The sequence below is a fragment of the Homo sapiens genome, chromosome 5 (assembly GCF_000001405.40).
Source record: "Homo sapiens chromosome 5, GRCh38.p14 Primary Assembly".
NCBI lineage: Eukaryota > Metazoa > Chordata > Mammalia > Primates > Hominidae > Homo > Homo sapiens.
The window spans coordinates 163,960,921-163,985,012 of NC_000005.10; positions in this window are offsets into that span (position 1 = coordinate 163,960,921).

Below are 24,092 nucleotides of genomic sequence, written 5' to 3' on the forward strand. Positions count from 1 at the left end.
AAAGTATTCATCCAGTTTTGCAGCAAATGTTTGATGGTTGCCTCCTTTGTTCCCCATTCTAGAGATAGAGCAGTAAATAAAACAAAGTTAGAAAATTACCATTTGTCCATTGATGTGATGATAATTGATTCAGGCAAGATTTTTTTTAATTATTATTATACTCTACGTTCTGGGATACATGTGCAGAACGTGCTGGTTTGTTACATAGGTATACACGTGCCATGGTGGTTTGCTACACCCATCAACCAGTCATCTACATTGGGTGTTTCTCCTAATGCTATCCCTCCCCTAGCCCCCACCCCCCAACAGGCCCCAGTGTGTGATGTTCCCCTCCCTGTGTCCATGTGTTCTCATTGTTCAGCTCCCACTTATTTGTGAGAACATGCGGCGTTTGGTTTTCTGTTCTTGTGTTAGTTTACTGAGAATGATGGTTTCCAGCTTCATCCATGTCCCTGCAAAGACATGATCTCATCCTTTTTTATGGCTTTTCTTTATCCAATCTATCACTGATGGCTTTTCTTTATCCAATCTATCACTGATGGACATTTGGATTGGTTCCAAGTCTTTGCTATTGTGAACAGTGCTGCAGTAAACATACGTGTGCGTGTGTCTTTATAGCAGCATGATTTATAGTCCTTTGGGTATATACCCAGTAATGGGATTGCTGGGTCAAACGGTATTTCTAGTTCTAGATCCCTGAGGAATTGCCACACTGTCTTCCGCAATGGTTGAACTAGTTTACAGTCCCACCAACAGTGTAAAAGTGTTCCTATTTCTCCACATCCTCTCCAGCACCTGTTGTTTCCTCACTTTTTAATGATCGCCATTCTAACTGGTGTGAGATGATATCTCATTGTGGTTTTGATTTGCATTTCTCTGATGGCCAGTGATGATGAGCATTTTTTCATGTGTCTGTTGGTTACATAAATGTCTTCTTTTGACAAGTGTCTGTTCATATCCTTTGTCCATTTTTTGATGGGGTTGTTTGTTTTTTTCTTGCAGATTTGTTTAAGTTCCTTGTAGATTCTAGATATTAGCCCTTTGTCAGATGGATAGATTGCAAAAATTTTCTCCCATTCTGTAGGTTGCCTGTTCACTCTGATAGTTCCCTTTGCTGTGCAGAAGCTCTTTACTTTCATTAGATCCCATTTGTCAATTTTGGCCTTTGTTGCCATTGCTTTTGGTATTTTGGTCATGAATTCTTTGCCCATGCCTATGTCCTGAATGGTATTGCCTAGGTTTTCTTCTAGGGTTTTTATGGTTTTAGGTCTTACATTGAAGTCTTTAATCCATCTTGAGTTAATTTTTGTGTAAGGTGTAAGGAAGGGGTCCAGTTTCAGTTTTCTGCATATGGCTCGCCAGTTTTCCCAACAAGATTTATTAAATAGGGAATCCATTCCCCATTTTTTGTTTTTGTCAGGTTTGTCAAAGATCAGATGGTTGTATATGTGTGGTGTTATTTCTGGGGCCTCTGTTATGTTCTATTGGTCTATATATCTGTTTTAATACTTTATTTGGGAAGGAAGTATGCACATATAATTTAAATTTCAATGCAAATCAAAATATAGTCAGTGTTGAATGAAAGTTGCATGCATACATACCATAAAAATTTAGATAATCGAGTTAGACAAAGGAGTAAGAGCACATGAATAAATTGGAAAGTGACGTTCAACTGTGCTTAATGTGTAGAGTTAGATAAGTTACTTCTCTTTCCTGAGCTTCGCTTTGTCCGTTTTTGAAACTGAATCGTTACAATACATGCCTCATAGTTTAGTTTTTGCCCTCATCCATCTCCCAGAAATCCCTTTATAAGGATAAGGCCCATGTCAGCCTCTGTTAAACACTGTTTCCACATTATAGGCACTTGATAAATATATGTGGACTGAATGAATGAAATGATTTTTGTGAATTTGATGTCTTCATAATGAGAATGAAAATTCTGATACAGTCAAGGCATTCTAAGCACAATTGGTAGATAATAAGAAGAATAGCTCTGTGTATTGAAAAGCTCATATTATTAGCATCACCAAATTCTGACACCATCTGTGGAAGGCTTGAAGAAAGGGTGACCCTTCTCAATGCAGAAGAGAGGAGTGAACAGGCAGAAAGAATGGTGTGAGCAAAGTTCCTAAGGGAATGTTGACATCTTGTTCTTGCATCAATATGTAGAAGAATTTGACTGAGAGGATTTATCCCTTGTAGCAGTGGGAGTTAAAGTTAGACAGGTCTGTAGGGTAGACTTGTCACATCTCCAATTCTAGGAAAGAATATTGGAATCTATTTAGTGTCTAGTAAGGATGCGTTAAAGGATTTCAAGGAGGAGGTGGTATATCCTAAGCATTAGGAAGATTAATTTAATAATAATATAGTGAAGTTCTCAGAGGTAAGACAACCAGCTAGGATATTATTAAAATAACATTTTATTACTTTAATGTAGCTAAGTCTGTCTACTATTAAATATATGAGGAATCTTGATATTTTGCCAATACTAGTTGCTTTTTTAAAAACCATCTTTATTCTACATAATTATCCTTCCAAAGACTGAGGTACATATAATGAAAAGTACTTCAGGCAAAGCTTGATATTGGTTTACCCTAGAGGGTAAGGAGGGTTATACGTAACCCCTGGCATCCTCTTATTTATTTTAATTGCAACCAAGACATTCAGGGCATTTCCATCAAACTATATTAATGACCATCATAGCTATGGTTACCTGGAAGCAAGAGATACGCCCAGGGAAACTTATTACTTTATAAAAAGTTCATCTCATAGTGTCTTCCAGACACAGTTAAACATTTAGGGTCTTGGCAATGTCTCCAGAGTTTAGCAGGGGTATAGTAAATGGACTTAGAAAATGCAAAATTGCTTCATTTCAGATGGTTGCCATAAGTCATCCGTTACATGCTTACTGCACCCATACAACACCTCATTTTTGTATATTTTCTTAGGGATTGCCTCTTTTCCACATAAAAATAAGGAAGAGATTGGTTTGGGAAAGTGATAACAGATGATCAAGCCAGGTAGTACGTGTGAGAAGCGTGCAGAAACCAGGAACTCTCGTACATACAAATGTTTTCTTAGGCTTGCCTACTTAGAGGGCGGGGTCAACGAACTCTAGGCAGAAACTTCTATTTGTTGTTTCTAAAGACCTTGTTGGCTTTCTTTGTGAATATCTATTTGTACCTAAAATATTCAGTTGGCTCATTTTTCTAAACCCACAAAATTGCGTAAGCCATCTGTGGTATGTTGCCGAGAAACCGCTAGACTGATTATTGGATACTTTCATGGAAATTGTTTAGGCACCGGGTCAGTTGCCCCACATACTGTGAAGAATATGAGGGAAGTTGTTAAAAATATGAACAAAAACCTTAGAAATATAGCAACAAAAACCTATAAATATAGAAAGGCTATATTTATATCACTGACTGCTTGTATACTTGCTAGTTTTTCTCTACTTCCATATTTGCAAGTAGAGAAAAAAGTTTAGATTCTAGCACTTCTTTCATTTCCACCAGCATGTGTATGCAAAAAAGATGTCTGATATATCTCTATTTTCTCAAAGTATATATTTGCCTTGATTTTTTTATTTCACATTGATTATCCAAAAATAGTGTTAGGATTCTATAATTTTAACTAATCTTAATTCATTTTCTACAAAGGAAAACAATTAGCATATAGTAAATCCATATTTTAATATGTATTTTCCCCACATGAGAAAATTCCTATGAATCTAGTTTACAGACTATAGTGAGTTCTTTTGTGAGATGGGGAAACAAAGTTATTTTCTGTCTATTTTAAAGGCCTTCCAGGAAGCCAGCTGCACAGGGCTCAGGTTTCAGGAAGGCTGTGAGGATTCCTGGAAAGCACATTTTTGGCTTGGTAGAGTGATAACTCTTGCACAGGACTTAAATCTTGTCTGCAATAGGTGATATGTGACTTAAGAGCCTTAAGGAAGGTGATTTGTCACAGAATGTCAAACGCAACTCTTCAAAGGGACAAGCAGGTGAAGTGGAAAGAAATCATATCATGTGCCATTCTTTGTTCAGAAGGATGCGAAATGAGCAGTTGTTTTGAAACGGAGTTGTGCTGTTAGAACTGGATTTGCCACTTACTTGCAGTCCTGCAGAAACATGACACAATGGTGATATTTTTATTCCCTGGAAAAAGAATAATGAGAAAGCTTTTTTTTTTTTTTCAGGGATGGTGTTTTAGGGAACTTGATTTTGCCAATGCTGCTATTTTTGCTTCTATCTTCATAAAAGATATCATGGTGGCAGATAAGTAGAGAAAGTGTCACAGTTTGTATCTTATTGCATATTATATTTATCTTTAAGGTGGTTTAGCAACTTTTTATATCTTAAGAAAAAATTAAGATTAAAGGAATAATGGACTTCATTTTCTTCTATCAATTCATATTCATAGTTACTCATGGGTGTTTTTATATATATATATATATATTTTTTTTTATACTTTAAGTTTTAGGGTACATGTGCACATTGACAAACCTGAGAAAAACAAGCAATGGGGAAAGGATTCCCTATTTAATAAATGGTGCTGGGAAAACTGGCTAGCCATATGTAGAAAGCTGAAACTGGATCCCTTCCTTACACCTTATACAAAAATCAATTCAAGATGGATTAAAGACTTAAACGTTAGACCTAAAACCATAAAAACCCTAGAAGAAAACCTAGGCCTTACCATTCAGGACATAGGCATGGGCAAGGACTTCTTGTCCAAAACACCAAAAGCAATAGCAACAAAAGACAAAATTGACAAATGGGATCTAATTAAACTAAAGAGCTTCTGCACAGCAAAAGAAACTACCGTCAGAGTGAACAGGCAACCTACAAAATGGGTGTTTCTATATTGATAGCTGCATAATAGTAATTTATTTTACCTGTCTCATTAAGAGTGTAAAAGAACAAGAGTCTGTAATGTATAAATATCTTTGGATAACTCAATTCAGCATTACATTTGTTGATGGAGTAAATGGATGTTCAAATCATATAGTTTAGTTGAGAAGATGTGGAGTTCTTATTGATTACTATATCTTTTTTACTGTCATCTTGGGAATACCAGGAGTTCTGCCAGTAGAGGTACATTCATTTGACTTATTCAACGTTTTCTCAGGTGGTTTCTTAAGATGCAATTAAAGCAATAATAAGCACCAGAACATTTCCTTTAAGGTGAGAGGGGCAGAGGCCGTGCAATGGCATTGACTACAAATTGGATGGTAGGTGAAAGCTGTCATGATATGTCATAATTTTGCCAGTATTCCTCACCACACTTGGAATTGTATAATAATCAAGATAATCAATAATGCAATTAATATATAATACATATTATATGTATTTAATATATAATTACATGTTTATTATATGTAATAATATGCATAATTACATGTTATATGTATTTGATATATATAATATATATGTACATTTTAGCAGTACCTACATTTTAAACATATTTTACTTTATGGATACATTTTTGGAGCTCCTCCTCTAGTTCTTTTTTATTGTTATATGTAAGGGATGCAACGTGATGTTTTTATTTGCAGATACATAGTGAAATGATTACTGTAATCAAGCCAATTCATGTAATTGTCTTCTCACAGAGTTATCTTTTTTGCATATAGTAAGTGCGCCTAAAACCTACTTTCTTAGAAAATTTTCAATATACAGTATAATATTATTAACTATATTCCTCGTGTTGTTCTTTAGATCTCTAGATGTATTTGTCCTACAAAATTGCAACTTCCTCCTTTATTTTTATTTTATTTTATTATGAGACAAAGTCTCACTCTGTTGCCCAGGCTGGAATGCATTGGTGTCCTCTTAGCTCACTTCAGACTTGACCTCCAGGGCTCAATCGATCCTCTGGCCTCAGCCTCCCAGGTAGCTGGAACTGCAGGCAAATGTCACCACACCTGGCTTTCTTTTTTTTTTTTTTTTTTTTGTATTTTTGTAGAGACGAGGCTTTGCCATGTTGCCTGGGCTGGTCTTGAACTCCTGTTCTCAAGTGATTTGCCCACCTCAGCTCCCAAAGTGCTGAAATTGCAGGTGTGAGCCACTGCAACTGGCTAACTTCCTCTTTTAATTCTTAATGGTTTGGCAATGGCCTCTAGTATTTTACTTATAAAAAGAACAAATTATTTGATTACATGGGATGTTACGAGAAATATAATTTTCAATACAAAGACACACATTGTTTGCTAAGGGACGCCATACTATGAAGATAAAAAATTAAGCTGTGATTAAAAGAAGCAACATGTGACATAAAGAAATGATTTTTTTTTCTTTTTGCCTGATTTGGGGATTAAGGAAAGAAGAGTAAGGTTCAAAATATAGAGAGGAGAATAAAGTCATTTGTTTTTCACTAAATATTTGTTTAAACAAAAAAGCAATTTAAAGAAAGTGGAAACATAAAATCATTAAGATTATCTCTTTAAAGTGAATGTTCAGCCAAGTGAAAGGATGAAATGTAGAGTTGGGCATAGATTTTCTAGGATCCTGGGCCAAGCGTTGAGGCTATAAATCATGCAAGTAGCCACATAGCTAAGCAGCATGAAGCCCAGGTATGTTTACAAAGGAACATTCACACCAGGCCCTGGCAACTTGAACCTAATTTCTACTGAGCCCCAAATGACTGATGAAAGATGATTGCTGGAAGGTATTATTTCTTTATCTTTAAAAAATGACATATTGTGCAGCAGTGTAAGACATTCAAAAGCAGCTATGGGTATGCTCCCAGATCTTACTATACTTTCCAAACTACCTGAAGCTGAGTGCTCAGGCCTGGTTTATCAGTTGCCCAAGCAGATTGGCCCAGAAGGGCACAAGTCTGATTATGACTAATATAATCTTTGTTTTAAGGGGCTGTGAAAATTGACAAACAATATGGTGTAATGGTCGTTATTGCAATTTGACTTTATGATTCCCTATTTTTTTCCCTTGCTCTTGAAAAAACCTGAAACCTAGTTCTGTGTGTGTGTGTGTGTGTGTGTGTGTGTGTGTATGTGTGTGTGGTTTGTGTGTTTTAATGCGTTCTAAACTGCCCAAGCTCTTCCTATGTTCCAAGTTTTTCCCTTTCTTTTCTTTCCTCTACTTTCTCCTACTTTTCTTTTTTTCCTTCACCTCCTCATCCTCCTTCTCCCCTACTCACTCTCTTTCTTTCTCTTTTTTTCTTTCTTTCTATTCTTTTTGAGAGAAGAGGAAAAGCAGAAAGGAAAGATACTTTTTCAAGGTAAAGATGGTTAAATAAATATTGCATGGGACACTCACAAAATAAAATTGATTAACTTTAAAACTGTAACAATTTATCAGGAAAGTAGAAAGTTTTGTTTCTCTTGGCATGAAAATTATTTGCTTTTCTAATCTTTCAATTTAATAACAAATCTCCATCTTGAGCAACATCTTACTGCCCTCACCCTCCTTATGTTCTTAGATTGCATGTTGAAGAAGATAGTCACATAGTACATCAATTTTATAAATATTTTACACAAGAATAATTACACATAATCATGAAATAAGCTTGTTTTGTTATTCTTGCAGAAGAGAACAGGTTCTGGTAGACTCTTAAAAATATGTAAGTTGAGCAGAATTGCAGGGCATTTGTTTTTAGGGATATGTAAATGCTAAAAATGGAAATGAGACATATGTATTCATAAACATTATCAGTGTTTATAATATTGGCTAGCAAAGACTGTATCAAATTCTTGATTGCGTTCATAAAGATATCAGAGGAAAAAGAAAATCACCTTGTATTTGAGTTTTATGTTTATGATGATCAGGATTCTTAATCATCATGTAAGTTATGGAATAATTTAAAATTCTCTTTTGTCTGGGCTCTTATTTATATTTATAAGTATAGCCTTCCTTTTCCTGTTTCCCTGTCAAAGTAACTTACTGTCTCATTGTAATGTAGCAAACGGAACTGCCTTGGAGACAAGTCAGTTTCCCTAATAAGGTATTAAGCAACACAACATAATACATTTTGCAAATTCTTCCAACTGTCAAAACTCCTGTAATGCATATAAAATAAGAAATACACAGCAATTGTGTTATTAATTATGAAGAATAAAATTGCAATTGCTGAAACATAAAATACTTTCACGTCTTCAGGAAAAATGTCTCAGGATGAAATGATGATAAATTTCAATTAGAGAATAAATCTCACACTATAAATGTGGTTGTTCTAAAATGGAAATATACATAGCATAACTGCTACTTTATTTAATACAGCCATATGTTTGAGTATTTCCCTAGTCATCTACTGGATAACTGATTTCAGGAGGGTGCTGTTGGTAATAAGGTTGTTGGAACACTGTAGATTTTCTACCCCAGGGCAAAGTTCGGAAATACATTTCTTGATTGTCCATCCAATTGAATTTAATAGTTTTGATAACCATTGAGTTGAGAGTCACTATGACTTTGAAGTAAATCACAGGGGTTAGTGTTAATTCCCGAAGTTCTCCCTTTTCCCTCTGTGTTGATCACTGTCTGGAAAGCTCATATTCAAGTGTGTTATTCTTCTTGGACTGCCCTAACAAAATACCATAGTCCTGGTGGTTTTCCACTGGAATTTTTATTTTCTCACAGCTCTGGAGGCTGGAAAGTCTGAGATCAAAGCCCAGAGGGGTTCAGTTTCTGCTGAGGGCTCTCCTCCTGGCTTGCAGATGGCCACTTTGTCACTGCATTCTCATTTGATGGGGAGAGAGAGAGAGTGATTTCATTCTCTCTCTCTCTTCCTCTTCTTATATGGCTATAGTCCTATCAGATCAGAGTCCCATACTTATGATCTCTTTTAACTTTAGTTTCCTCCTAAAGACCCTATCTCCAGCTATAGTCACATTGGGGGTTAGGACTTCAACATATGAATTTTAGGAGGACATTTTAGTCTGTAGCATCAGGAATGAATTGTTTGGCTTCTGTTCTATTTCTATTTATATATTTATGTATTTGTTTATAGGGGAGGTATTGGAACATTCAGTAAATAACAAGACCAGCATCAAGTGAAATACAAATCATTTCTTATATATTAAACAAAAATGTTGTCAGCATCCTTCAAATTCTATTGCGTGAGTTCATTTATAATAAGCAGGATTTCTCAACCTTGGTGCTATTAAAAGTTGGGGTAAGTAAGATATTTTTATGGTGGTAGCTGTGCATTGTTTGAAAGCATCCCTGGTCTATACCCACTAGATGCCAGTAGAACCATGCAATTGGGTTAACCAAAAATGTCTCCAGATACTGCCAGATGTCACTGGGGAGGCAAAATTGCCCCCATCTGAGAACCACTATTTTAAAGAAAAGTATCAAAAAATTTAAATTTTGAGGAATTATGTCAAGCAATTACGTTCTTTATATTTTTATAACTAAATTAATTCCTATCAAACATAGGATTAATTAGAGACATTGAGATCGAAGAAACAAAACGTGACCTTTGTTCAGAAATTCTCATGCCTAAAGCCCTGCAATGGCAACTTATGTCACATAAAATAAAATCCACGCCATTTCAGTGTTGTCTGTTAAGTACAAATATTTTTATGATCTGGCTTCTGTTGACAGATCTCACCTCACCCTCCACCATTCACTCCTTGCTCACTCCAGCCACTATCTTTTCTATCTGGTTCATGAACAACTCAAGCTTTTCCCTGCCTTAGGGTCTTTGCACAAGCTGTTCTTTCTTCTCAGACCGTTCTTTTTTTTATGTTGGGGAATTTTTTTTTATTATACTTTAAGTTTTAGGGTACACGTGCACAACGTGCAGGTTTGTTACATATGTATACATGTGCCATGTTGGTGTGCTGCACCCATTAACTCGTCATTTAACATTAGGTATATCTCCAAATGCTATCCCTCCCCGCTCTCCCCACTCGACAACAGGCCCTGGTGTGTGATGTTCCCCTTCCTGTATCCATGTGTTCTCACTGTTCAATTCCCACCTATGACTGAGAACATGCGGTGTTTGGTTTTTTGTCCTTGCGATAGTTTGCTGAGAATGATGGTTTCCAGCTTCATCCATGTCCCTACAAAGGACATGAACTCATCATTTTTTATGGCTGCATAGTATTCCATGATGTATATGCGCCATATTTTCTTAATCCAGTCTATCATTGTTGGACATTTGGCTTGGTTCCAAGTCTTTGCTATTGTGAATAGTGCCACAGTAAACATATGTGTGCATGTGTCTTTATAGCAGCATGATTTATAATCCTTTGGGTTTATACCCAGTAATGGGATTGCTGGGTCAAACGGTATTTCTAGTTCCAGATCCCTGGGGAATTGCCACACTGACTTCCACAATGGTTGAACTAGTTTACAGTCCCACCAACCGTGTAAAAGTTTTCCTATTTCTCTACATCCTCTCCAGCACCTGTTGTTTCCTGAGTTTTTAATGATCACCATTCTAACTGGTGTGAGATGGTATCTCATTGTGGTTTTGATTTGCATTTCTCTGATGGCCAGTGACCACTGCTCAGTGAAATAAAAGAGGATACAAACAAATGGAAGAACATTCCATGCTCATGGGTAGGAAGAATCAATATCATGAAAATGGCCATACTGCCCAAGGTAATTTATAGATTCAAGGCTATCCCCATCAAGCTACCAATGACTTTCTTCACAGAATTGGAAAAAACTACTTTAAAGTTCATATGGAACCAAAAAAGAGCCCACATTGCCAAGTCAATCCTAAGCCAAAAGAACAAAGCTGAAGGCATCATGCTACCTGACTTCAAACTATACTACAAGGCTACAGTAACCAAAACAGCATGGTACTGGTACCAAAACAGAGATATAGACCAACAGAGGCCTCGGAAATAATGCCGCATATCTACAACCATCTGATCTTTGACAAACCTGACAAAAACAAGCAACGGGGAAAGGATTCCCTATTTAATAAATGGTGCTGGGAAAACTGGCTAGCCATATGTAGAAAGTTGAAACTGGATCACTTCCTTACACCTTATACAAAAATTAATTCAAGATGGATTAAAGACTTAAATGTTAGACCTAAAACCATAGAAACCCTAGAAGAAAACCTAGGCAATACCATTTAGGACATAGGCATGGGAAAGGACTTCATGCCTAAAACACCAAAAGCATGGCAACAAAGGCCAAAATTGACAAATGGGATCTAATTCAACTAAAGAGCTTCTGCAGGGCAAAAGAAACTACCATCAGAGTGAACAGGCAACCTACAGAGTGGGAGAAAATTTTTGCAACCTACTCATCTGACAAAGGGCTAATATCCAGAATCTACAATGAACTCCAACAAATTTACAAGAAAAAAACAACCCCATCAACAAGTGGGTGAAGGATATGAACAGACACTTCTCAAAGGAAGACATTTATGCAGCCAAAAGACACATGAAAAAATGCTCTTCTCAGACTTTTCTTTACCCAGTTTTTGTACAACCTCCTCGTCATTCAGGTTATAGCTCAAATTTTGCCTCATTTGAAAAGACTTTTTGACCACCCTATTTAGATGGCAAATTCCAACTCACAGCACCTACTATCTCATCCATTGCTCGATTGTTCCTTGCAGCATTAACACTATCTGAAACTATACTGTTTATTTGTTTATTATTTTTCCAATCTTCCCCCTTCCCATAAATCTGTACTTCTCTAGAATATAATCTAAATGAGGGCAGGAGTCTCATCTGTCATGCTCACTGTGTTATCCCCAGGACCCAGAACATTCCTGACCTGGACTGATGGTTCCTGCATATTTGTTGATAGGGAATTATTTGAAAAAAAGGCATTTTAGATATGCTTTTAAGGTTTATTATTGCTAAATTCAGTTGCCTTCCTTCTCTTTGAATGCTACCGCTTCCTACCTCAGGCCTTGCTAGGAAGATGAGCAGGCAGAGTACCTCCAAAAATAAAGTGTTGGAAACATATTTGTATCCCTTCATCTCAAGCTAGTTATTGAAACCTATGAGAGATACATAAAACACACAATTACTATTCTTTTTCAAAAAAACACATACTTATAGTGCCTTTGCAAATGTGTCATCAGAGATTTCAGACTTAAGTGAATAATGATTTTAGCCATTTCCTATTCTTATTTCTTAATATATAAACATTTTAAGAGACAGTACATCTCCCAACTTGAAAGTGCATTACTGATACCAAAAATACTTGCAGAGTAATAGATAAAAAGTCCACATAATTATATTTTATTTGACAGTCCTGAGGTTTTTCTCAATGACTGCACAAAAGTGTTAAATAGAAATGGCCTAGGGTTAGGCATTGAATCAATATGCACCAGTAAGTTTGCAAAATCAATTTTTTTTTTTTTTTGCTCCTCAGACACAGGAAAATTGATGTAACCGATGCTGTGTAACTCCTATTAATTGCCCACAGTGACAGAAACTTTATCAATTACTTATTGACTTCTTTGAGACCATGGGAGAATGGCAGTAGCTTCAAGGTTAAGTGTGTAATATAGAAGCCTTCCCTAGGCGAATGAAGATGTAAGTAGAAACCAATCAGATTTTATCAAACTAAATAGCTTTAGGTATGTATACCTCTACATTTGGGTTCACATATACATATTCGTCCCCCATTCATGTCTTGCCTCAGAAATTAGGTGTCTCAGAGGTGTCTATTTGTTAGGGTTTATGACAGAATCCCTGCTAATAATAGTTGTTAACATTTAAACCCACTTTATGCTAATCAAAAAACACAGGGATGAATGCAATCACTGTCTTCAGATAATATCAGAGAGGAAACATTACTGGACTGTGCTCTGCCTGCACATTCTGCAAGCAACAGAAAACCTATAAAATAGAGGCTTAATCACTTGAGATTGGGTTTACAGGTATAGTGTCCAGAGTTGATGCATTTGCTACATGGTGTCATAAGAAATCTGTTGACCTTTCTACTTTGACATCCTTAGTCACACCCAGTATGACTGATGCTCCTCCAGCCATTGTGTCTACATTCTAGACAAGGAATAAAAGGGAGAAGGTGAAAGAGCAAAGGGCCAAAATGGAAAGCCACGTGACTCTGCCCCTACTGAGAGCTTTCTTGGAAACCCTACTCAGGAGCTGCTTCTTCCTTCCCCCTGACTAAAATTAACCTATGGGAAGTTGAATATTAATCGGGAACATTAATGTTCCAAATGGATTGAGGTTTATATCTAAGTCCAAAGCAGAGAATGGATATCGAGAAGGCATTTGCTATTGAAACCTAGACAAACTCAGGTAAAGTAACCCAGAATCACATGGCAAACGAAAGGCTGACCCAGGCTTTGGGCTAGGTCTGTCTAACTGCAGAGCAGTACTCTCTTGACTCTACTCAACGATCAGAAAATTAAGGAGTATTGATTTTGTTGCTGAACTGCTCTGTGAGTTGACAATGAAGTTGCATGACAAAAAATATAAGAACCATAACATTCAAGCAGACTTCGAGAAAAACAAATTCACTTTATTTATTACCGATAAGGATAGAAAAAATGTGCTTAACACAACAGGCAAAAAATTAGAAATGCAATTTGTGAATTTGACACAGAAACTTGTTTTGCTATAGGTACTCATTTTTTTCACTGTAACGTGCACAGGTATGAGAAGTGTAATTATATATATATATATATATATATATATATATATATATATATATTCTTTTCCTGTCTTTAAAAGGACATACTTTTTTCGTGGTGATAGTAATTAAAATCCATCCTTTAAAAAAATTTCAGGTATACAATATAGTATTATTAACTGTAATCACCATGCTGTACATTAGATCTCCAGAACTTATTCATCCTGCATAACTGGAAAATTATACCCTTTGGCCAATATTTCCCCATTTTGTCCAATCCCCCAGCTCTTGGCAACCACCATTCTATTTTCTACTTCTATGAGTTAGACTTTTTTAGTTCCACATATAAATGAGATCATATAGTATTTTTCTTTCTGTGTCTGGCTTATTTTTTCTTAGCATTATGTCTTCCAGGTTCTCCTATGTAGTCACGACTGGCAGAATTTCCTTCTTTTCTATGGTATGACTGAATAATAGTCTTTTATATGGATATAGATGAATAAATATCCCATTTTCTTTATCCATTCATCTATCAATTATACCTCAATAAAACTGGAGAGAAAAAGATCAGAAAAGGACATACAGTTTAATGAAATGGCTTAAATTTCATTTCTAAAATTGTTCCAATTTTTTTTAATTTAAAAGCTACAATTGTCAAAAACATCATTAACAATCTAAATGTTCTAGAATAGAAGATGAGTTGGAACAATTGAAGCTTTTTTTCTATGCAGATGGGAATTAGCTGAGCCAGCATAGTCTTTGGTTCAGAAAGGCTAAATGTCTACTTTGATGTTATTCAGCTATTAACTAGTAGAGCCAAGAATTGACCTGAGGTTCATTATATCTTTTTCTTTTTCGTTAGATTTGCTTGGGTTTTATCTTCTTTACCATTTTCTAAAGCTTATTTTCTTATTGATGTCCTTATTATTTGTATTGACTTTTAGTGTTCAATATATTCCTTTTGCTTTCCTAGGTGCTTAACTAATATTTATTGAATAAATAAATGGATAATCACTCTGGTTATTGTTGGCATATAGACCATATATATATATGTATATACACACATATATATATATAGATGACCCTTGAACAAAACAGATTTGAATTGTGCGGGTCCACTTATTCATGGATTTTCTTCTGCCTCTGCCATCCCTGAGAGAGCAAGACCAACAATTCCTCATCCTCCTCTTCAGCCTACTCGACCTAAAGATGATAAAGATGAAGACCTTTATGTTAATCCACTTCCAATGAATGAATAGTAAATATATTTTCTCTTCTTTATAATTTTCTTAATAACATTTTCTTTTCTCTAGCTTACTTTGTAATGAGAATACAGAATAAAATACACATAACACACAAAATATTTGTTAATCAACTGCTTATGTTATTGGGAAGGCTCCCAGTCAACAGTAGGCTATTAATAGCTAAGTTTGGGGGGACTCAAAAGTTACATGTGGATTTTCAGCTGCATGAGGGTCAGCACCCCAATCCCTGCATTGTTCAAAGCTCAACTGTATGTGTATATGTGTGTGTGTGTATATATGAGTGTGTATATATGTATATATGTACAGATACACACACATATATATTCGGTTATCTCATGATACATTACATTGTCTTTTTTAATATAACAATTTAATTGAGATATAAGTCATTGGCTATACAATTCACTCATTTTAAAGTATAAAATTCAATGGTTTTCAGTGTATTAACAGACTTGTACATCCATCCCTACAGTCAATTTTAGAACATTTTCATCACTCCAAAAAGAAACTCCATATTGATTAGCAGTCATTCTCTAGTCATCTCTGCCCCACCACCATTAAAGAGTACCTAATTTAATTTCTGTTTCTGTAGATTTGCCTATTTTGATATTTCATACAAATTGAATCATACAATATGTAATCTGCCCTGACAGACTTCTTTCACTTAGCGTTATATTTACAAGGTTTATTCCAGTTGTAGCACATTCAGTACTTCATTTATTTTTATGGCCACATAATATTTCATTGTATGGATATGCCACATTTTATTTATTCATCTATCAGTTTTAGGACATTTGGGTTTTTTTCTACATTTTTAGGTATTTTAATTACTGGTGCACTAATGTACAAGATTTTGGTGGGAATGCATGCTTTTATTTCTCCTGGGTATATACCTGGGTTGGAATTGCTGTGTCCTATGGTAACTCCATATTTAACTTTTTGAGGAGCTACCAGACTGTTTGCCAAAGTGGCTGCCTCATTTGCCATTTCTACCAGCAGTGTAGAGGTTCCGTTTGTCATTGTTTTAATGTTGTTTATCATTAAATATGTGCTTTCCTAGCAATGTTGTATAAAGTTTGGAGGAGATTTCCTGATATTCTTAAAGGAAGAAAAGTCATTCTCCTTGGAGGAAATCCAAATTGATCACAGGTTGGTCAGGAGATGTTTGACTAATGAGGTCAATGAACATCAGAAATGACTGGAATCTTTTCCAAAGAGGGCGTGAGAAGAGGGCTGTGAAATGCCCAAAGACATATTTGAATGTTTGAGGTCAAGAATTCATGGATGAACACCATCTATAGTGTTTTCATGCTTTCCACAGAGTTAGAGTTTGGTTTATCTTACGTCAGGGAATTCCCTATGAAAAACACTTTGAAATTTTGTATTTTTTTTAGTAGCCATCAATAAGTCTGTAAATATTATTGATTCGTTCAACAGAGATGGGGCCTACAAATATACGTTTGGTGAAAGACCTCAAATGTGTCCCATAAAATCTCAGCATTTGGATCATTATTGTATGCAGTATTTCCTGGAGAGAATGGCTTAAGATGAAGACTAACATTCATTTTCAAGATCCTTTGTTGGAAGCTTAACCAATTGGATTAACTTAAAAGAGTGTGCTGGGCATGGTGACTCACACCTGTAATCCCAGCACTTTGGGAGGCTCAGGAGGGTGGATCACTTGAGGTCAGGAGTTTGAGACCAGCCTGGCCAACATGGTGAAACGCTGTCTCTACTAAAAATACAAAAATTAGCCAGGTGTGGTGGCGCATGTCTGTAATCCCAGCTACTCGGGAGGCTGAGGTGGGAGAATCGCTTGAACCCGGGAGGCAGAAACTGCTGTGAGTCGAGATTGTGACACTGCACTGCACTGCACTGCACTGCAGCCTGAGTGACAGAGTGAGACTGTGTCTCAAAAAAAAAAAAAAAAAAAAAAAAAAAAGACTGCTGGCCAAAATGACATTTAACAAAATTCAAAATGCAGAACAGAGGCACATTGTTTATTTAGTAAAATCCTACAAGGAATGAAAACTTTATCACTAGATGCAATGAAATCTGGCAATGACCAAATTGTGTGTTTGGATTCTTTCTAGTTTGATCTTCTAGGAAGACGGTTAATTTTTTGTCACAAGAAAGAAAAGAGCAACAGAAACAACAAAATAATAAATAACTCAAAAGGATCTCAAAATACTTTTTGTAATAAATGTATAAGCAAATAATATGGGATATTATTTTTATCTGTAAATATTATATTTTGACATAATACGCTAAAGGTAAATTTCTCCTTTAGAAGCTACATCTTTTCAGAGAAGATCTCACTAACAAAGCAAGAGTAGAAATTTTTGTTGTTATTTTTGCAAGTCTTGACACCGCTTTTCTTGTTAGACTTCTATAAATTCACGAAACAACTTTTGCAATAATCTGTTATTAGGATTAAAAAAAGTATCTTTGCCTCTCTATTGCTGGTTTAAGGTACATTTCCAAATTCTTTTTTTCTTTCATCAGAAGACAGGAAGACATCATTCATAATTTTCTGTCTAGCTAGTTTTCTTGCTTTTATCTATGGCCTCTTTCAAGCACTCCTTTGAGGCACTAAATCCGTTTAATACTTTTGCTATGAATGAGCCTTGTTAAATAAGACCATCGAGCTTTTACCATTTGCCAATTTTTCATGCCTTCTGGTATGTATTGGCTAGATTTCACAAACTATTTGAAAAGTAATCCTTAGTAAGATGATTTTAATGGTAACAAATTACATCCATGACACTTCTGTATAACAGTAAAAATCACCAACTCTTAAGTTTGGGTCCAAAATATATAACATATTCAAAAATAAATTAAAAACAGGTATTTCAATGTACAGTTCATTGGTGATGAATGAAATGCATAATGTATGTGGAAATCATTGATTGAATTAGCACTTAGAGGAGAGATGGAGATGGAGTTAAATTTTAGTTACTTAGGGGAAAATCCTTTTACTTAAAAGCCTTGGGAATACAAAATAAATAGCAGCATAAATAATTTTACAAAGCATCAATAATAAATGCACTGAATAAAAGGAAAATGACCAGATCAAGTCCAGTCATGAGATATCTCAAAGTAAAGTTTTATAAGGGGAAAAAAAGGAAATGTGTAGATGTTGCTGATGACTTCAGGGAATCTTTGTGATGTGGATTCTGTTTTGTTTTGTTTTGTTTTGTTTTGTTTTGCTGTCGAAGTGTGTGTGTTGTGTGTGAACTGAATAGGCCACAGAAAGATAAAATTAAACATGTTGAAACAGGAGAATTTCCTGATCCTCCTCACAGAACATGCTACAGGGGTGTGGCTCGCCTGTTCAGTCTCCCCTGCTGCTGCTCAAACTCCTGACAGGAGGGGGAGCACGCAGACAGGCAGGTGCAAAAGCCAGGGTGAGTGCTTTGGGCTCTGGCCCCTTGGGAGTGTCTAGGGGTGAGTACCTGCGGCCCCAGTGTTACAATGCTCTTTTAGCCTTACCATCCACAGACTGCTTAAGTGTTAACCAGCTCAATGGACTCTCTACCTTTTAGCAAGGGCAGAGGGCCGGTGTGACAGCTTTCTGTATACCAAACTCTTGCCCAGAGTCCTGGAAGTATCGGGTCACACATGGGCTTGAAGGATGAATGCAGGGTTTTTTTTTTAGTTTTTTATTTTTTATTTATTTTATTTTATTATTATTATACTTTAAGTTTTAGGGTACATATGCACAATGTGCAGGTTTGTTACATATGTATACATGTGCCGTGTTGGTGTGCTGCACCCAATAACTCGTCATTTAGCATTAGGTATATCTCCTAATGCTATCCCTCCCCCCTCTGCCCACCCCACAGCAGTCCCCGGAGTGTGATGTTCCCCTTCCTGTGTCCATGTGTTCTCATTGTTCAATTCCCACCTATGAGTGAGAACATGCAGTGTTTGCTTTTTTGTCATTGTGATAGTTTGCTGAGAATGATGGTTTCCAGTTTCATCCATGTCCCTACAAAGGACATGAACTCTTCATTTTTTATGGCTGCATAGTATTCCATGGTATATATGTGCCACATTTTCTTAATGCAGTCTATCGTTGTTGGACATTTAGGTTGGTTCCAAGTCTTTGCTATTGTGAATAGTGCCGCAATAAACATACGTGTGCATGTGTCTTTATAGCAGCATGATTTATAGTCCTTTGGGTATATACTCAGTAATGGGATTGCTGGGTCAAATGGTATTTCTAGTTCTAGATCCCTGAGGAATCCCCACACTGACTTCCACAATGGTTGAACTAGTTTACAGTCCCACCAACAGTGTAAAAGTGTTCCTATTTCTCCACATCCTCTCCAGCACCTGTTGTTTCCTGACTTTTTAATGCAGGGTTTTATTGCGTGGTGGAGGTGGCTCTCAGTGGGATAGATGGGGAGCTGAAAGTGGGGTAGAGTGGAAGGATGATCTTCCCCTGGAGCCTGGCCGTCCGGCAGCCAAACCCCTCTCCTACCACCCCCAGTCGAACTCCTCTTGGCATTGGGACGTTCCTCTTCCTCTCTCTCTGCTGCGTTGTTCTGCCGTTCATCTGCCTGTTTCCTCATCTCCTCATCTGCTTGTCTGCTTCTGGAGCCTGGGGTTCAGGGTTTATATGAGTACAGGATAAGGTGGAGTGGCAGGCCAAAAGGCAGCTTTTTGGGAGCAAGAACAGAAATGCCTGTCCCCATTTAGGAACGTGGATCTCCAAGCTTGAGGGTGGAGCCTTTGCTAGGGAACAGCCTTCTTCTACCCAGTATTTCCCTATCTCCTGTCCATATCAATGTGATCTTCCCAGAGACATCTTCAAAAAGGTGTTTTTAGATAAGAAATTGTTCCATAGCTCTTGCTGTAATTTTTATTTTTGTTCCATTGTTCTCCTAAAATCTTTAGAAATTAATTTTAGTAGTCTACATAATGACATTCTAACGTTATTCTCAAATAAATCACTGCCCATTACCCACAGTAAGAATGAATCACCTAAGATCACTACACAGGGCATGAAATTCTTGGGGGCTCTTCTAATTATATTTTGTAGATCTCGGCAACTGCTGTTATAGTAGGTGATAGTTGTTCTTGATTTTTCATTTCAGAAAATACTACATTTGTTAACTCTTTCATTAGATTTTTACATATAGGATTACCATGTAATTTATCATACAAATTATATAGTTTTTTAAAAGTAAACTGAAGGTGGCACTATTGATAATTATGACAGAAAAATAGGTATAGGCTGGGACTTAAACTGTGATACATGTTTGCCCTATATATGAAGATTTTACTTCTAAAAAACCCTCTACTTAGCTTGATTTATCCATACTGAATACAACCAAAATGTTCTCCCACTATGGAGTGAATAAATATTTATATCATGATATACTACAGTGGCATATTTGTATTAGGTTGGTACAAAAGTAAGCACGATTTTTGCCATTTAAAATAATGACAAAAACCATGCCTACATTTGCATGAACCTAATACAATGGAATATCACAGAGCAAGGAAATCAGAGTGAACTACTGCTACCTTCAACAACATGAATGAAAATCATAAGCATATGCTGAGTTGAAGACGCAAAATTACATTTATATGTTACTCAAAAATGACAAAAGTAACATATGGTAAAAAGGTGAGAATAAGGATTTTCTTTGATGGATTACTAATGGGCAAGTGGTGTAGGGGGTCTTCTGAGGCTCTACATATCTTAGTCTGGTTCGTAATCACATATTTATACATGCCTAAAAATTTATTATCTTATGACAGGCACTATACTGAACACGGGTTATACTTCAAATAATTTTAAATAAATGTAGGGATGAAATACTATTTCTAGTCATATCAGTGAATTCTCATCAGAATAAGATAAATGCTGGTCAGACAAAAATAAAACCAAAATGAAGCAAATGTTTTCTACTGGGACCTCTACCTGGTGAGTTCCCTATATGATACCTCTCAGAGGCACCTTTCTAGCTGCTCTTAAACTTTTGTTTGAAAGGTGCTCCCTGTTCTTCACTGAATTTAGCTTTGTTCTTCCCCATATTTATCAGCTTGCTCATGCTGAATTCTGTTTCTTAAATACCTTCCCTCAATAACTGCCTGTCAAAATCTTCATTCTTCAAAAATCCAGCTAAAATACTTTCCTGTATTATTGCTTTCTCTTTCACACTTACAGACCTTTTTCCCATGTTTTCATTTTATACCCACCTTTGATCCATCTTTCTTTTCTCCTGTTTTTAAATTATTCATTCAATAGATGAGTTGGACCTATGCTTAAAGCAGAGCATACATGGATGTATAAGACCATCTTTGTCCTGAAGGAGCCCATAGTTTCTTAGATAATGGCCCTTTTCCTCTTATGCTTTCTAATGTAGGTATTTTGTTCCCCTATTGAAAGTTCCTCTACTAGATGAAAACTTCTTAAAGGTGTGAAAAGAGGGGGAGTAGCTCTTATTCAGCTATGCATTCACTGTAATGTTTCAGCAAGAGAAAAAATAGGGACTCAATAAATACTTGTGAATTGAAATAAATTCATTGGCTGAATTGCTTGAAAATTATCTGTGGGAAAATGTTATAATGAATTCTACAGTTTGTCTAACAATAGGTGGCTGATAAGATTAGTTAAGCACTTTTAATAACTCAGGTTCATTGTACAAAAAATACCCTACCTATAATTTAAGCTTTTCCCCAGTAGAATGACTTCCCAGGGTTCCAGCAGATACTGTGCAAATGAAGTTAGTGTATTGCAAATGATTCTGCTTCCCTCAGTTTTAAACACGGCTCTTTTCACAGTTTGGACACAGGGTATATGAGATCTGTCACCTGGACCCTTGTGAAGTGACCTTTTGTGGTCCATACCACTTCATTTCCAGCATGCCTATGTGTTAATCCGAGGTCGACTGCCCAATTCAGTTTGAATTAGATTCTAGTCAGGTAACACATTGGAGAAGCTAATTTAAAAAATTTTTAGGAGAATATTTTCTTCCTGTTCCCCTGTTGCATTACTACTTATCCTCAATTCTTGTGGAGATACACCTTAGTTTACCTCTAAGATGATCCATGAGATCACAATGACATTATATTCTACTCTATTGTGTAATTCTTTAAACTTTCTTAATTCTTACAGTCAAAGTTACACTTAGAAAGAATCCGAAGTTCTGTATATCTAAAAACTCAAATAGGGATATTTAATATTAAGAATAGATATACACCCACATATTGCATTCAATATATTGTACACATAATTTAATGAGTAAGTTAATAGTCATTGTTTCTATTTATTTCTTGTTTTGTAGATTCAACTGTTCAACACTCTTTAGGACAAAATATATTCATGAAAATTATTCTTATCTGGGAATATGGTGTTCTAAAGTGAGAACACCTTCGAAAAATATTCCAGAAAAAAAATCTTAAAGCAGGTGGATGGGAATTTCAGAAAGGATGTTTAATAAATTGTGAAGGCCTTGTCAACAAACATATTCCAGCAGAGGATGCATAACCATTTGTTAGAGGTGCTGTACAAATAGTTGTTACCTTGGCTAAGAGGTTAGTCTTGATGACCCCTTAGAACATTTGTAATTCCAACTGTCTAAGAAGAAAAGAGATATGTGCCACAGAATTGAGATTTTTAAACAAGAATGGCCTATTTTGATTAGAATAATAATACCAATAAAAGCTACAATATATTGAGTGCATATTATTTTCCAGCCACTTAGCTAAACAGATTTAAATTGCTCTATGATGATCTTCATAAAATAAACAATGCATTTAACATTTTTTCCAAATCCAAATAAATCTAAGTTGATGACTCCACTTCCAAAATTGGCCAGAAGTCCAGTAGTAGCCGTTTTCTAACAGACCCCTTTCTTCTCCCTTGTGCAGTACGTGCAGAATGAGAAGGGTCTTATTTGAATCTACACTTGACACTTTGGCAGCTGCTTTTTTTCCCCGGCCCAGCTGGTCATTGAAAGGTAGGCTACTCCCCTGGTACACCACTTCCTGTAGGACAAATAGACCCGAGGGCCTGCACTGAGATGCTGAAATACAGAGCCTGGTCTTCATTGTTACCCACACACATATTCACCCAACATTCTGCCATCTTAAGAATATGGCACAGTGATTCTCAATGCACAGTATCAAATCCCAGGAAATCCAGCATACGTAGAGTCAATCCTTCAATACATATGTCTTTGTTTTCTCAAGTATACGTTCTGTTGCCATGGGTTTAAAGGCCTGTTAGGGTACGACTTCTTGACATTTCAAGAATAATTTTTAAAAATACCCTCTAGGGATAATAAAAACAGTGAACATTTGGAATTATAGGCCCGAACATTCTCGTGAACGTTGAAAGGGAGCCAGAAGAGGGAGAGAGAGAGAGAAAGAGAGAGAAGGTATTTGAGCATTTGATTTCATTCCTTTTTAGTAAATCTACGGTAGCAAGAAACAACTTATCAAGTTGTCCCACTACATTAATTTCTGAAGACAACTTATGGCTAATAAATTTCACAAACATTGAATGTAATACTTACAATTGCATTATATTATTGGAATTATTGCCCCATTTCATAGATGAGGAAACTGAGACTCAAGAAAGTGAAGCAACAATCCAAAGTCCATACAGGTAATAAGCAGAGGGAACCAGGATTTAAAATCTGGTCTGATTCCTTGGGAAGCTGTGTTCATAATCACTGTAGCACACCACCTCTATAGTATCAGTATCATGCTCAGGAACAGTTCATCCACAATATTCCAAACACCTGCATAGGAGGTTCATAAATATTTTTTCTCATGTGGATGTAAGAGTCAAGGATTTAGTGCATTTGAAATCATATGATATGATTAGATTAGCGTTAGCTCCAAGTTATTCAATTCGTAAAAACTGGTGACTGGGGAAGCTTGTCAAGAGCTGTGAAGAGTCTGACATTTTACCCTGGTCCAAGGTAACAAGCTAGCCTGCAACAGTTTCGGGGTTGTTGGCGGAAGACAGGAAGGGCAGTATAGATGGGCCCAGTTTGATATCTGCTCACAAAGTGGGTTTCTTTCTGAAAGAAACCCTGTCCTGAGAGAATCCAAGTTACTTATTTATTTATTTATTTATGTATTTATTTTTGATGGTGGTTTATGCTTTTAGTTTTATTTATTTATTTTTATTATACTTTAAGTTCTAGGGTACATGTGCACAATGTGCAGGTTTGTTGCATATGTATACATGTGCCATGTTGGTGTGCTACACCCATTAACTCGTCATTTACATTACGTATATCTCCTAATGCTATCC